At 48.9% G+C, this 16657-nt stretch overlaps 1 protein-coding gene across 1 annotated transcript in view, besides 1 other annotated feature; it reads right to left on the bottom strand.

Annotated features, from left to right (window-relative positions):
* The window catches only part of SLC15A1 (solute carrier family 15 member 1), a 68872-nt gene extending 52936 nt beyond the window's left edge, over positions 1 to 15936 (bottom strand). The window contains exon 1 of the mRNA NM_005073.4: positions 15859 to 15936. Within this exon, the coding sequence (NP_005064.1) occupies positions 15859 to 15862 (4 nt within the window). The 5' untranslated portion in view covers positions 15863 to 15936. The remainder of the gene's footprint in view (positions 1 to 15858) is intronic.
* Positions 1347 to 1889: an enhancer, noted in NCBI's record as "OCT4-NANOG hESC enhancer chr13:99390337-99390879 (GRCh37/hg19 assembly coordinates)". NCBI's record gives its function as "activates a minimal SCP1, AML or CMV promoter by ChIP-STARR-seq in naive H9 embryonic stem cells {active_cell/tissue: H9 hESC(naive)}" and the evidence as "EXISTENCE:reporter gene assay evidence [ECO:0000049][PMID:30033119]".

A 16657-nucleotide genomic window follows, 5' to 3' on the forward strand; every position in this document is an offset into this window, starting at 1 on the left:
AAAAAACGCTCATCATCACTGGTCATCAGAGAAATGCAAATCAAAACCACAATGAGATACCACCTCACACCAGTTAGAATGGCGATCATTAAAAAGTCAGGAAACCACAGGTGCTGGAGAGGATGTGGAGAAATAGGAACACTTTTACACTGTTGGTGGGAGTGTAAACTAGTTCAACCATTGTGGAAGACAGTGTGGCAATTCCTCAAGGATCTAGAACTAGAAATACCATTTGACCCAGCCATCCCATTACTGGGTATATACCCAAAGGATTATAAATCATGCTACTATAAAGACACATGCACACGTATGTTTATTGTGGCACTATTCACAATAGCAAAGACTTGGAACCAACCCAAATGTCCATCAATGATAGACTGGATTAAGAAAATGTGGCATATATACACCATGGAATACTATTCAGCCATGAAAAAGGATGAGTTCATGTTCTTTGTAGGGACATGGTTGAAGCTGGAAGCCATCATTCTGAAGCATCTGTCGCAAGGACAGAAAACCAAACACCTCATGTTCTCACTCATAGGTGGGAATTGAACAATGAGAACACTTGGACACAGGGTGGGGAACATCACACACTGGGGCCTGTCATGGAGTGGGGAGTTTGGGGAGGTATAGCATTAGGAGAAATACCTAATGTAAATGACGGGTTAATGGGTGCAGCAAACCAACATGGCACATGTATACATATGTAACAAACCTGCACATTGTGAATATGTGAACACTAGAACTTAAAGTATAATAATAAAAAAAGGAAATAAAATATGTAGCAGCCTCCCCCTCCCCTCACGCCTGCTTTTGCCATGTGACATGCCTGCTCCCTCTTCACCTTCTGCCATGATTTGAAGCTTCCAGAGGCCTCACCAGAATCAGATGCTGCCATGCTTCCTGTACAGCCTGCAGAACCGTGAGCCAATTATATCTCTTTTCATTATAAATTACCCAGGTGTTTCCTTATAGCAATACAAGAATGGCCTAACACAGAAAAATGGTACTGAGGAATGGGTCATTGCTATAAAGATACCTGAAAATGTAGAAGAGCTTTGGAACGGGCATAGGTCAGAAGAATGTGGAGGGCTCAGAAGAAGACAGGAAGATGAGGGAAAGTTTGGAACTTCTTAGAAACTGTCTAAATGGTTGTGATCAAAATGCAAATAGTGACATGGACTGTGAAGGTCAGGCTGAAGAGGTCTCAGGTGGAAATGAGGAACTTATTGGGAACTAGAGCAAAGGTCACTTTTGTTATGTCTTAGCAAAGAACTTGGCTGCATTGTGTCCATGCCCTAGGAATTTGTGGAAGTTTGAATTTAAGAGCAATGACCTAGGATATCTGGTAGAAGAAATTTCTAAGCAGCAAAGGATTCAAGATGTGACCTGGCTGCTTCTAACAACCTATGCTCATAGGTGGGAGCAAATAAAATGACTTAAAGCTAGAACTTATATTTAAAGGGGAAGTAGAGTGTAAAAGTTGGGAAAATTTATAGCCTGGCTATGTGGCAGAGAAAGAAAATGCTTTTTCAGCAGAGGAATTCAAGCAGGCTGTGGAGCAACCACTTGCCAGAGATATTTGCATAACTAAGAAGGAGTCAAGTGCTAACACTCAAGACAATGGGGTAAAGGCCTCTAAGGAATTTCAGAGACCTTCCTGGCATCTCCTCCCATCACAGGGCCCAGAGGCCTAGAAGGGAAGAATGGTTTCATGGGCCAGCCCAGGGCCCCACAGCCCTATGCAGCCTCAGGACACTGCTTCTTACATCCCAGCCACTTAGGCTCCAGCCTTGGCTCAAAGGGCCCAAGATACAGCCCAGGCTGCTGCTTCAGAGGGTGCAAGCCATAAGACTTGGTGGTTTCCACATGGTGTTAAGCCTGCAGGCGCACAGACTGCAAAAGTGAGGGAGGCTTGGGAGTCTCTGCATAGATTTCAGAGGATATATGGAAAAGCCTGGATGTCCAGGCAGAAGCCTGCTGCAGGGGCGGAGCACTCACAGAGAACCTCTGCTAGGGCAGTATGGAGGGGAAAGGTGGGGTTGGAGCCCCCACACAGAGTCCCCATTGAGGCATTGCCTAGTGGAGCTGTGAGAAGAAGGCCATCATCCTCCAGACCCTAGGATGGTAGATCCACCAACATCTTGCACTCTCAGCATATAAAAGCCACAGGCACTCAACAACATGTGAGAGCAACCTCTGGAGCTGAACACTGCAAAGCCACAGGGGCAGAGCTGCCCAAAGCCCTGGCACCCCACTTCTTGGATCAATGTGCCCTGGATGTGGGACATAGAATTACAGGAAACTATTTGGGAGCTTTAAGATTTAGTGCCTGCCCTGCTGGATTTTGGACCTGGGTGGGGCCTGTAGCCCCTTGCTTGTGGATGATTTCTCCCTTTGGAATGGGAATGTTTACCCAATGCCTATACTCCCATTGTATCTTAGAGTAACTTGTTTTTGATTGTGCAGGCTCATAGGTGGAAAGGACTTGCCTTGCCTCAGATGAGACTTTGGACTTGGACTTCTGCATTATCGCTGGAATGAGTTAAGACTTTGGGGGATTATTGGGAAGGCATGCTTGTATTTTGAAATGTGAGAGGGACAAGAAATTTGGGGAGGCCAGGGGGAATGATACAGTTTGAATGCATGTCCCTGCCCAAATCTCATATTGAAATATAATGCTCAATTGTTGGAGGTGGGACCTGGGGGAGGACACTGGATCATGGGGACAGTTTCTCATGAATGGTTTAGCACCCTCTCCCTTGATACTGTCCTCACAATAGTGAGTTCTCATGAGATCTGGTTGTTTAAAAGTATGTAGCACCTCCCTGCTCACTCCTTGCTCCTACTCCAGCCATGTGACATGCCTGCTCCCCCTTCACCTTCCAACATGATTGAGCCCTCCCCAGAAGTGAGCAGATGCCAGCACCATGCTTCCTGTACAGCCTGCAGAGCCATAAGCCAATTAAACCTTCTTTCTTTATAAATTACCCGGTTTCATGTATTTCTTTATACTACTGCAAGAACAAACTGACACAATCTACCACTTTCTCTGAAAGTTAGTTAATAAGATTGAATCTACAATGAATAAAATAAGGTTTTTTATTCACTTCATCTCAGGAAGACAACTTGGCAGATTCTTAATTGAGTATGGATGGACATTTAGAATGGACTGACTTAAAATACGACAAGAATTTACCATGGGGGACCCCTGGCAGAGGTGAGGAGGTAGCCATCAAAGAAGAAAGAGCCCCCTCCAGGGTCAATTACATTGACCCAAAGTAGAAGTGCCGATGATGTCACGCTGGAAGTCAGACCATGGGGATGAGGATGGTGTGGACCAGAGCAAAGCGGTCTTCTCAAATACAAGCCATCATGACAAGCCTTATATTGTCTTTCAAACTGCTTTTTGGGTGGAGGTTGCTATAGTGTGCACCAGGCAGGAGCTAGGGAGAGTGAAGGTCCTGTCACTCCGAAGCCATGCTAGTGAGCTGATGCAGAAACATGCCTGGGGCAGGGAGGTGCTTGCTAGGCACGGCCCCTGTCCAGGGTCACCCGCTGTGCTCCGCACTCCACCTGGACTGTCCACCGTCCACACCAGCAACCTGAGCTTCCCCCAGTGGAGAACCTTGCTCCCAAACCTTGCGTGCTCTCTCCTTCCTGCAGGTGAAGCCCTACTCCTAGGCCCGGCATTCAAGGCCCCCCAGGGTCTGACTGTGGCTCCATCCTCCTCCACCCCAGCTGTCCATCCACATGACTCGTTTTCTGTCTCCACTTGGGCCCTTTCAGAACTCCATGTGCTATGTGGTCTCCCTCTGCCTCCTCGGCTTCCCAAATCCTCTCTCCTTTCTCAGGGCTCTTTAGACCCTTTACAGCTGCCCTGGCAGAGCAAGGGGTTGTACTTCAGAAAAACGTCACAGAGCCTCCTGTAGCATAGGTTGTCTCTCACTTCTTTTTAAGAAAATAAAGCATGTGCCACTTCAAAAAGCAGCAGTGGGACCTGCACCAGGCTTCACTGTCACTGCCCTGAGGACAGGGGTGGGGTGGTGGGAAAGAGGAAGGATATGGGTGCCTGGTGTCACACACTTGGTTTGATGTCTTTTCCAAAATGGATGAACTTTGATCGAGCAATGAAAAGTGTTTTTCTTTCCTTAAATGGGCTCTTCTAGCATCAGAGTCAGGTTAGCTTTAGAAGAAATTCAGCGCCTATAACCCAAAGCCCTTGTTTCTGGAGTGGCTCTTGTTGAGGCTGTTTCTTGCCCAGCTTGATGCTTTTTTTTCTTCTTGGATTTGAATGTTTTGCCACCTTTCCCACCCTCGGGGACTCTGCTTGTCCACCCAGCATTCTGGTGTGGATTAGAAAAGTGTGGGCTTCTAGGCCGGATGCAGCCCAGTGGGGCCTGGCCTGACAAGTGAGCGAGGGCCACTCAATCCAATCAGAAAAAGTGTCCCTGATGGCTGCACTGCTGGTGACTGGAGCATGGGCTGCATTCCATACCAGGGGTCCTCCTGCTGGGACCGCCATGAAGGCATAGCCGGCACCCAGGCTGTGCCCATCCTCAACTGCTCTTCATAGAAATAGCCTCCTTTTCAGGAGCAGGCACGGTGGCTCACACCTGTAATCCCAGCATTTTGGGAGGCCAAGGCGGAGGGATCACTTGAGTCCAGGAGCTTGAGACCAGCCTGGCCAGCATGGTGAAACCCCATCTCTACTAAACATACAAAAATTAGCTACACTCCTGCAATCCCAGTACTTTGGGAGGTCGAGGCAGGTGGATCACTTGAGGCCAGGAATTTCAGACCAGCCTGGCCAACATGGTGAGAGCCCGTCTCTACTAAATATACAAAATGTAGCCACATGCCTGTAATCCCAGCTACTCAAGAGGCTGAGGCCCGAGAATTGCTTGAACCCAGGAGGTGGAGGTTGCAGTGAGCTGAGATCATACTACCGCACTCCAGCCTGGGTGACAGAGGGAGACTCCGTCTCAAAAAAAAAAAAAAAAAAAAAGGCCTCCTTTTCCACGGCTACTTTCTTCCCCACTAGGAAGCTGCTGCAGTTCCTCTAATCCATAAACAAACAGGGCCATAAACACAGAACATGCTGATGTGTGGTTTTTGAATGCCATTTGCTCAAAGCAAATGAGGTATCAGACTCCAAGAATGAAGAAATCTCACTAACCCCTAACGGCAGGAAACTAACTTAGAAACCATGTGGGGAAACTGGTGCTGAAGGGAGACTGTGGGTTTATCAAGTGACTGGGTGTGTTGCCATGTGGACAGCAGCCTAGCCCTGCGGACCTTGCACGTGGGCCACTGGGCCAAGGCTTGACTGCAGCTGACCTGAGTCTCAGCAGACGCCTGGTGGTCCTCCCAGAACACAAGAGAATGGGAAGGCCGTGAGGGGCTCCACCTCCCTCAGGACCCCCGAGGATTCTGGTGAGGCGGTGGGGGAGCTTTCTGCCCAGCACCCTCACAAGAGAGACATGGAACACAAAACCACTCAGCCGCAGCCTGGCCCCGGCTCCTTGGCAATGAGCCACCTCCTACCTGTCGCCAGCCCCTGCTGCTACAGGGCTGCTTTTCCCGCCTACATGGGTCATGAGCTGCCTTGCCTGTACCTCTTCCATGCAAAGTCTGTCGCCATCTGTCGTGTGCTGGACAGCCTGCCTTCACCTTCCTTTAAGACAGTTCCTCCCTCAGCTTGGGTGTCCATGGCTCCAGCCTGGGGACAGCTCCTGGTCAGTGTAGGAGTTTGCCAGGGCTGTCTTACAGAGTGCCTCAAACCGCGTGGCTTACAACATGGAAATGTGGCCTTTCACAGTTCTGGAGGCCGGAAGTCTGAGATGGAGGTCGGCAGGGTTGGGTCCTTCAGAGGACGCAAGGGAGAATCTGTCCTGGGCCTGTCTCCTGGTGCTTTGAGGCCCAGCTTTGGTGTTCCCCGTCTTGTAAGAACATCACCTCCACCTCTGCCACCATACTCACGTGGCGCTTGCCCTGTGTATGAGTCTATGTCCAAATCTCCTCTTTTTACTCATTTTTATTATTGTTGCTATTTTTGAGATAAGGTCTCACTCTGTTGCCCAGGCTGCAGTGCAGTGGCACGATCATAGCTCACTGCAGCCTTGAACTCCTGGGCTCAAGGGATCCTCCCGCCTGAGCCTCTTGGGCAGCTGGGACCACAGGCGTGTGCAGCCATGTCGGCTAAGTTTTAAAATTTTTGTAGAGACAAGGTCTGCTATGTTACCCAGGCTGGTCTCAAACTTCTTGTCTCAAGTGATCCTCCCACCTGGGCCTCCCAAAGTGCTGAGATTACGGGCACGAGCCACCATGTCCAGTCCAGATTTCCTCTTTTTGTGAGGACACTGCTCATATTGAATTAGGGGCCACCCTACCCTGGTATGACGTCATCATAGTGAATTACATCTGCAACGACTCTATTCCCAAATAAGGTCACGCTCCAAGGTATTGGGGCTTTGGGCTTCAACATATGCATTTTGGGGGATAAATAATTTGCCCACAATAGTCACAACTTACTGATTTAGGTTCAGATATCCTCCTAGCTTTTAAAAAGGTTTCCACACACAACTATCTAAAATCATAGGCTGAAGAGGCCTGAAATGACCAACCTCTCGTGGTTTTATAAATTACCTACAACTTTCAGCATCTTGTTCCTGTAACTACAGGCATGAATCTTTGAACGCCATTCCTGTCCTCCTTCAGGAAGAAATGATCTCTCTGGGACCCAGGATCCAGCCACCTTTGGACATGCTGACAGACAGTTGATTTCCAACCTGCTCTCAGCTTCAGGGAAAGGTGAGCCAGACCACAGAGTGCTCCAGGGTTCACATGCAGCAAAGCTGTTTGGCAAAACAGGAAAGATCTCAGGACAGTCCTAAGTCCTGCCTCAGGTAGAGGCCGGGTAGTCAGGTGAGATGATTTTCCTGGCTGTTAGTACAGCAACCCTTGCTCTCCAAGTTAGCTTCCTGATCTACACCTGGATATTTTTAGTCTAGAAGAACACCTTTCCTTCAGAACTAAGAGTGAGACTCTCTTTAAATGCCAGACTGCCGAGGGTAAATAAACAAATATATGCTCAGGTTAAAGAGAAGAGAGACCCTTCCTCAGAGCAGACTCTAGAAGGAGAAAAGAGGAGAGAACACAAAGGGAAGCAGATACCAGCCTCCGGGACAGCATCAGCTCCCCACACCCAGCAGGCAACAGAAACGGTGGCCCTAATAATATTGTATATTGTCACAGGAGAAAATGACTCTAAAGATACATAAATGTCGCTAAATTAAAAGGAAACAAGCCTGGGCAATGTGGCAAGACCCCACCTCTACAAAAAATAACAAAAATTAGCCAGGCATAGTGGCACGTGCCTGTAGTCCCAGCTACTTGGGAGGCTCAGGCAGGAGGATTGCTTAAGCCAGGGAGGTCAAGGCTGCAGTGACCTGTGATTGTGTCACTGCACTCCAGCCTAGGTGACAGAGTGAGACTCTGTCTCAAAAAAAAAAAAAAAAAAAAAAAGAACCAATCTCTTGGTCTTTTGGAGGGTTGTTTTTCAAGGCAATGAGGTTGAAGACCCTAACTTATACACACACAGACTTTTTTTTTTTTTAATGGTAAATCATGACTAGAAAAAAATGCTTTACAATCATGGTTAAGTATGACGTTAGGGTATAAAACAGAATGCAAGTTTTCTGCCCACATGATAGATTAAAAGTAATGGCAAAGCCGGGTGCGGTGGCTCACGCCTGTAATCCCAGCACTTTGGGAGGCCGAGGCGGGCAGATCATGAGGTTAGGAAATCAAGATCAGCCTGGCCAAGGTAGCAAAACCCCCTCTCTACACAAGATACAAAAATTAGCCGGGCGTGGTGGCATGTGCCTGTAATCCCAGCTACTCGGGAGGCTGAGGCAGGAGAATCATTTGAACCTGGGAGGCAGAGGTTGCAGTGAGCCGAGATCGCGCCACTGCACTCCAGCCTGGGCGACAGAGCAAGATTCCATCTCAAAAAAAAAAAAAAAAAAAAAAAAGGCAAAAACCGCAATTACTTTTGCACCAACCTAATATTTGGGTTGCACATGGCTCTTTCCTATCATAAGAATATCTGTAAGAAAGTTCTAGACATAGAATGCTGTTAAAATATTGTGTGTATTTTAAATTTCATTAGATATTCTCTAACAATTCTCCATAAAAATGTCAGGTGACTTATTTTTTTCAGTCTTCTAATTTTAGAATTAGCATGCATAGCAGAAACAGCTATATTTTTCAAAAACCAGAAAAGTGAAACACTGCACATGAAGACTGCCTGGAAACTTTATCTGCAGGTCCACAGTACCGCATCAACAGAATGGGAACGTCGTTTTTAGAACTAGAGGTAAATCGCCTGTGTCTCCTAGATCACTTTGGGGCCTGTTTTCTACGTACCAACTCTCTTACTAAGTGGACCGTTTACAGTTGACCAGAAACTATGACCAGAAAACCCATCTGTCTTGCTGGGGGAAGGAACTGGTCACCAGACATAGCATCCGAGCTGAGGACCATGGTGGAGTTATCTTTACACTACAAATGTTTTCTACCTAAAGTCATCTATAAGCCATGGACATAGTTCAGAGAGAATACTTTCTGTTACCATGTCGGGGTGTCGAATAGTGTCCTGCCCATCCCCCCACAAATTCACATCCTTCTCAATCTCAGAACTTGACCTTATTTGGAAATAGGATCATTACAGCTGTAATTAGCTAAGACCAGGTCATACTGGGACAAGGCGGTCCCTCATCCAATGTGAGTAGAGTGCTCCTAAGAAGAGGAAAAGTGACACAGAGACAGATGGGCTGGCAGAGACGGCAGGGGTGTGTCCGCAAGCCAAGGAATGCCAAAGACCACCAGCCACACCAGAAGCAAGAGAAAGGCCTGGATCGGCTTCACCCCCAGAGCCTTCGGAGGGAGTGTGGCCCTGCTGACCCCTTGACTCTGGGCTCCCAGCCTCCAGGACTGTGAGAGAAGACTTTTCTGTTGTTTCAAATTCCCCAGTTTGTGGTGCTTTTGTTACAGACACCATAGCAAACAAGTACACCATGTGAGTTTAGGTGTCTTGATGTATTTTTGTTTTTTTTTTAACTTGTAACATTATTTATTTACCATTTTAACTTCGATTTTAGGGGTACATGTGCAGGTTTGTTATATAGGTAACTCGTGACTCAGGGTTTTGATGCTCAGATTATTTTTCCACCTAGGTACTAAGCCTAATACCTAATAGTTGGTTTTTTCCAAACAGCTCTCTCCTCCTACCCTCTACCCTCAAGTAGGCCCCAGTATGTGTTGTTCCCCTCTGTGTCTTTGTGTTCTCATCATTTCGCTGCTGCTTATACGTGGGAAAATGCAGTGTTTGATTTTCTGTTCCTGTTAGTTTGCTGAGGATAATGGCCTCCGGCTCCATCCATGTTCCTATAAAGGACATGATCTTGTTGTTTTTTTATTGCTGCGTAGTATTCCGTGGTGTATATGTACCACATTTTCTTTAGTCTATCATTGACAGGTATCTAGGTTGCTTCTATGTCTTTGCTATTGTGAATAGTGCTTCAGTGAACATATGTGTGCATGTGTCTTTATGGTAGAATGATTTATATTTTTTTGGGTATATACCCCGTAATGGGACTGCTGGGTCAAATGGTAGTTCTTGGAGGAGTTGTCACAATGCTTTTCACAATAGTTAGACTAATTTACACTCCCACCAGCAGTGTATAAGCATTCCCTTTTCTCTGCAAGGTGTTTTGATTTAATGGAAAAAAAGGAAAAACGTTTATTTCCTCAAGAACATCTCAAATGTATAAACATCTGCCATGTCCTAATAGAGCTTATAATAAAATCTTGTCACTAGGGGCAGATTGTAGAAGTTCTAAATGCCTAGTTTGAGAACTTTTAACGAGCCTTCTTATGGAAGTACATTTTGTGAATTTTCTATTTGTTAATCTGATCTCTGAACCAAAATTCCCTCTGGACATGGACCTGTTGTTCCATATCCCCACATCATACCTGGAGGACTCTAAACCCTCTCTCCAATGAGAGACCCCTTTCCGCAGCCCGGTGAGGAGCTTTGAGCAGTTTCCAGTCTAGGAACCAGGAGAGGAACTAGACCTTCCTCCTTCTTAAGCCTCTGTGGAAGACCCTGTCCCTGTGCCCCGTGGCTGTGGCACTTCCCAACGGCTGAGCCTGTGCTTTAACTGTGTTCTCATAGCTGCCCTCATCCTAAACCCCAAAAACCAGAGGGGCCGAGAGAAGAGGTGTGGCCCCCCCCACCCCGGCTGACACAGCCTCCTTTGTATCACATCCATGAGGTGAACCCAGGGTCCAGTGTCCTCCGCAATAGACTTCCAGCTTCTGAAACCAAGGGACAAAGGTACAAAAGAGTGACTCCCTGGTTCTTGGTGTTGCAACCCCGGGATGATGAGTCAACCGTGCTCGCTCAGCTGAGAATACTGCTCTTTCTCTCACTGTCCTCAAGGAAGAATGTGGAAAGGTTCCTCAGGCCTGACCCTTGTTTTTATTTCCTTATCGGCTCACCTGGGACACCTACCCACTTTCTCATCCTGCAAAGCATAGAATCAAGACGCAACTGTGTCTGAGAGCTTCTGCCTCCACCATGGGAACACACCTGGCTGGGAAGTCTTAGCTCCAAAGTTCTACACCAGGCCCCCAGTCATCAGCAGCTCCACCATGGGGAATAGAGTAGCAGTCCCATTTTCTAGGGAGGATTCCTGGTAGCTCAACTAGCCCATTGAGTAAGCCCTGTTTGTTCTTCATGGAATGGTTCAGTAACTCAAAGGGCAGTAGAAAAAAATTATTAATCAAAAAAACCCAGCCTGGCACAGTGGCTCAGGCCTGTAATCCCAGCACTTTGGGAGGCCAAGGCAGGCGGGTCACCTGAGGTAAGGAGTTTGAGACCATCCTGGCCAACGTGGTGAAACCCCGTCTCTACTAAAAATACAAAAGTTAGCCAGGTGTGATGGTGCGCACCTGTGATCCCAGCTACTCTGGAGGCTGAGACAGGAGAATTGCTTGAACTCAGGAGGCAGAAGTTGCTGTGAGCCGAGATTGTGCCACTGCACTCCAGCCTGGTTGACAGAGCAGACTGCATCTCAAAAAACAAATGAACAAACAAAAAAACCCAAGGGAATCGAAAATGGAATAATCTTACTCAGGACATTTTGTAAGAGACGTGAAAGACCATGCAAACATTTAGCATTCCATCCAAACTGGGCAAACCTAAAGTAGGCAAACCCTCCTGCTCAGACAAACACTCCTAGTTGCTGCTTTCACTGGTCTCATAGTACCTCATTTTCCTCAACTCTAACTCGGAGTGGAAGAGTGTTGTTTACGGGCTTATGTTCCTGCCCCCTGAGGATATAATTTCTTCAGGCAGGATTATTTTTATCCTCACATGGTTAAGTAAATACCTGCATAGATATGCAATTCAGGTGCATCCTGGCCAGCCCAGCTGAACCACATTCATTTCTCACTCCTATTCATTTCTACTCTCTTTACTTCTTTGTTTTTGTCTTGTTGTTGCTTCAGACACAGTTTCTCTGTTGCCCAGGCTGGAGCACAGTGGAGCAATCTTAGCTCACTGCAACCTCCACCTCCTGGGCTCAAGTGATCCTCTGGCCTCAGCCTCCCGAGTAGCTGGGACTAGAGGTGCGCACCGCCATGCCCAGCTAATATTTTTGTATTTTTTTTGTGGAGACGGGGTTTTGCCATGTTGCGCAGACTGATTTCAAACTCCTGAGCTCAAATGATCCGCCTGTCTCAGCCTCTCCAAACGCTGAGATTACAGGCGTAAGCCGCAGTGCCCAGCTATCCCTACGTTAAGACGGCACCGGCAGACTAATTCTCAAGTTCTACCTGCTAATTTACCCAATGCTTCATCATCACGGACATGTACCCACATGGACAAGCCAGGGCCCAGACTGTACTAGACCTTCCCACAGCCTAATTTTAGGGCACAGTGGCAACATGTTCACATGGGCAGGGGTCAAAAAAAAGAACCCAGGGGATCTTTAGAGTCGTGGTTCTCAAAGCGTGGGCCTGGGAGCAGCAGCATCACACCACGTGGGAACGTGGTCAAATGTCAGTGCATGAGCTCTACCCTGCACCTGAGACTCTAGGCAAGAGGCCCAGCGAGCCCCACTGCTGGAACAAGCCCTCACTCAGATAAGCCTGATGCATGTTCAAGTTTGAAAAACGCTGACTTAGAGCAATATTAGCCCAAAAGAACCCAATGTTAGAAGTTCTCTTTTCTTGCTGCTGGCTAGGAGGAGGTGAGTTCCCCCGAAGGTCATATGCCAAAGGCTTCCTTCAGTGTGGGACCACCTCTATAGCTTGCAGCAGGGACACCAGCTGCCCTGGTACTTCAATATTGTTCTTCGGTTGACTCAAGAGTTGACAGGAGGAGGAGAGAATGTGGAGGGACGCACCAGGTGTGAGGGACCTTCACAGCCCATCCATCATTTTAAGCTCAGGCAGCTGACTTGGAAAAACCTATCAGAATCACAAACAAGGCCAGCCAGGAGGCTGAGATCTGGTGGGGCAGGAAGAGAATAAAGTATCCTACTTTAAGTGAGTGAGTATCTCCAATCAACCTGGAGGTCTTGGCAGATAGAGGCAGGTGCTTGCTGCATTGAACCTGAAGCCTTGTACCTAATTTTCAGAGTCCATTTAGCATAGTCTTGCTAAGCTTTGGATAAGGGAGTGAGGTGGGGTGGGAGGAAAGAGATCAAATAGTCAAAACCTTCAGCAAAAGCACCCCCAGCCCTATGATCCTACGAAGGCTTCGGAGGCTGCTTTTTCTTACTGACGCTTCTTCCCAGCATATAAGAAGTTTTCTGCTATTCAGAGACTGAATTCAACCTGACAGCCCTTGGGAAAAGAACATCTCTCCACCCCAGGCTCTGAGAACCACACAGATACCTTGGCTAGGATCCCCAAACTATGGCTCATGGGCTACATCTGGCCCACTGCCTGTTTTTGTGTGGCTCACAAGCTAAGAAGAATGTAAGCTTACATTTTTAAGTGATTGTAAAAAGTTTTTTAAGATTTTGTGGCACATGAAAATTACATAAAATTCAAATGTCTCAGTACATAATGAAGTTTTATAGAAACTGCTCTGCTCATTTGTTGATTGTGTACGGCTGCTCTAGAACTGCAGAGTTGAGAAGTTGCCACAGAGACCACCTGGCCCCCAGGACCCGAAGCATTTCCTACCTGGGGCTTTCCAGAAGAGACTGTCGACCACTGCTTTAAAACAAAGGAGGTGCCGTTCATGAGCCCAACAAGACACTCAGCCAGGTTTGGCTGTGCATTGCCACACCCAAAGCAACATTTTTTTTTTTTTGAGACGGAGTTTCACTCTTGTCGTCCAGGCTGGAGTGCAATGGCACGATCTTGGCTCACTGCAACCTCTGCCTCCCGGGTTCAAGTGATTCTCCTGCCTCAGCCTCCCTAGTAGCTGGGACAACAGGCACATGCCACCATGCCCAGCTAATTTTTGTATTTTTAGTAGAGACGGGGTTTCACCATGTTGGCCAGGATGATCTTGATCTCTTGAACTTATGATCCGCCCGCCTCGGCCTCCCAAAGTTCTGGGATTACAGGTGTGAGCCACCGCGCCCAGCCCCAAAGCAACTTCTATTTATTCTGTTAACTGTTGTGGATTCTCCTTGCCTCTGTTACTAAGTCTAATAAATGCCTTAATGGTATGATTCTGAGTCTCATCCAATCCCTCACTTTCCTATTCATTCAGAACTTCTGCTCCTGGATTCTCAAGGAATGAAAAAGCACCTGCCGTGAAAATTTGCTCCAATTACAGTGGGACAAAGTCAGAGGCAGGAGGTACAGGCTTCTCTAAGGACCACGTCCTTTTTGTCCCCTGCCTCGTTCGCCAACTGCTTCAAGTGTCCCCTCAGTCACTGAGGGATCTGAAGCAATTCTGGCATGACCTAAGTACCAAAGATCTGTTCTTTTTTTTTTTTTTTGAGACGGAGTCTTACTCTGTCGCGGAGGCTGGAGTGCGGTGGCACCACGTTGGCTCACTGCAACCTTCGTCTCCTGGGTTCAAGCAATTCTCCTGCCTCAGCCTTCCGAGTAGCTGGGATTACAGGCACCCGCCACTATGCCCAGCTAGTTTTTATATATTTTTAGTAGAGACGGGGGTCTTACCATGTTGGCCAGGTTGGTCTCGAACTCCTGACCTCAGGTGATCCACCTGCCCTGGCCTCCCAAAGTGCTGGGATTACAAGCGTGAGCCACTGCGCCCGGCCAAGATCTGTTCTTAAGAGAAGTTACTACTACTTTTTTTCCCCATAACAACCATTAAACAATTTTTTTTTCATTTACTAACTAACCCTTGATATTGAAAAGTTAGGACTTCAGTAAAAATCAAATCGGTTTTTGCATATCAACTTTTTTGTTGCTATTCACATGCTATGTCAATCTCAGTTGCAAACAGAGAGGACCAGTTGCAGACTAGAACGCATCAATTCATTTGGAAAGGAGGCTTCAAATCTAACTCTGTATTCCTTCACCAATAACCAGGCAGCTGCCTCTAACAGCTCTCGGGATTGGATCTGCTGGAAATGCTAAACACGGGTCATAAATTCCAACTCAACAAGGATGCTGCTCAGGTATTTGGTATTTGATGATCAACAGAAATAGTTCAGAGCACCTCCCAGCAAAGTTGCATAGAGTGACAGGTGGGACTTGTTTGAGGGCGGGACCCAGAACTGCAGCCCAGGAATCTGCCTGCAGAGCTGAGCTCGGCCACAGTCTCCGCCAGAGAGGGAAGTTGCAGGTCTTTCTGGAACAGGCACAACTGGCTACAATTAGAAGTCCAAAGTGTGAACCACTCACTGCTTCTCCTTAGGAACCACCACATGCTGTGTCCGGCAGGCATTCTGAGAGCCAGAGGACGGCTGCACCCTGGGGCTGGGCACTGACACACATCACTCCACCAGGACCACTGAGGCAGCCACCGACCGACATTCCTGTCTACAGGCTCAGATCCCCCTCAACAACGTGGCCACATCTTCTGCAAAATGCTGGCCGGGGGCATCCATGGCACAACTTTGGGAAGCTGACTGGGCTTCCTCATCTTTAAGAAAGCAGCGGGCTGGGCTGCTCCCAGCAGCTCTGGCTCTGCTTCCGTTCATTCTCTCTGGGTCTGCCTTAGTTCCAGGGTGATTAATTCGGAAGCGGGGCAGGAGTCAAGTTGCCTCCTAGCTGTTTTGCTGACGCTCCAGCCCCATCAAGAGCCAGCTCCTCACCTTCTGTAAGGCACAGAAGGTGCCTCAAATTAAGCCAGGGGACAGTGCAGAGGGTTAAGAGGGGGCCACAAAGAGAGGCCCCATCTCCTCTTGGGCCAGGGTTCCCTGCGGAACTCCAGGGTCACCTCGCCAGCCAGAGGCAAGACAAGTGCAAAGGCAGCCACAAGGCTTCCGCCAGTTAGACGGTGTTTCTGCCGCCCCTGCCGTCACCCGCTGGGTCCCGTCCCGCTCCAAGCGCACTCCCGGCCCGCAGGGTGGGAATACGAGGATTACAGTGCCCCACGGGCGGGCGGGCCAGGATCGCAACCTCGGCGGAGTCGGCGCCTCTGGGCACCTCTGGCTTCCGCGCCCCGGCCGCACGGTGACCACCCGGGAGGGGATCCCGGGCGCCCCGCAACCTCCCGGCCCCCGTGGGCCTTCGGGTCGCCCCGCTTCCCGCCGCCGCGTACCCTTCGCGCCTCCCGGCCCTCGGTGCCGGCCCCCGCCCCGCGTAGCTCCGAGTCTTTAGCCCGGCCGGCCCCCCACCCGCCGAGCGTACCCATGGCGGCGGCTCCCAGGGCTCCTGCGACCTGCCGGCGGGACGTGCTCCTGGCAGGTGCTACTCCTCCGACCTGACGTCCAGGCCCGGCCCCGTTGCCCCAGGTACAGCCCCAGCTCTGCGAGGCGGGGCCGCCGGCTCCACCCGGGGGGCGGTGCTGCGGGGAGCAGAGGTCCGTGCTCCCGAGCCGTCGCGCGTGGACACCAGCCCCGGCCCAGGTGCGGGTGGGCCCCGACGGGAGCGCGTGGCAGGCCGGGGGAGAGCCAGTCTAAACGCGGATTCCCAGGCCCCACCCCCCGGCCAGCTGACTCAGGAGGTCGGGGCTGGGGCCCCAGAATGTGCATTTCTAAGAAGTCTAAGGGGAGGTTGATGCTGCTGGATCCAGAACGACACTTTGGAAACCACTGTGGGAGGAACGCACGCTTCTGGGTGGGGAGGCAAAACACGGTGGGACAGTGGTCAGCTGTGTGTGTGTGTGTGTGTGTGAGAGAGAATGTGTGTGTGGGTGTGAGTGAGGATTGTGTGTGAGTGTGTGTGTGTGAATGAGGATTGAGTGTGAGCATGTGTGAGAATATGTATATAGTTTGCATGTGAGAATGTATGTGTGATGTGTGTGTGAGAGTGTGTGTGAGAGTGTGTGTGTGGCTTTATTTTGAGATTCAACCTTTGAAAGCATTTCTGGGGGATTCTACATTTCCTTTCTTTAAGAATCATCCTTTCTTTAAGAGGACACAACCAAATGGAAGAATATTCTATGCTCATGGATAGGAGGAATCAATATCGTGAAAATAGTCATACT

Source organism: Homo sapiens, chromosome 13 (assembly GCF_000001405.40).
Source record: "Homo sapiens chromosome 13, GRCh38.p14 Primary Assembly".
In the NCBI taxonomy this organism is placed as follows: Eukaryota; Metazoa; Chordata; class Mammalia; order Primates; family Hominidae; genus Homo; species Homo sapiens.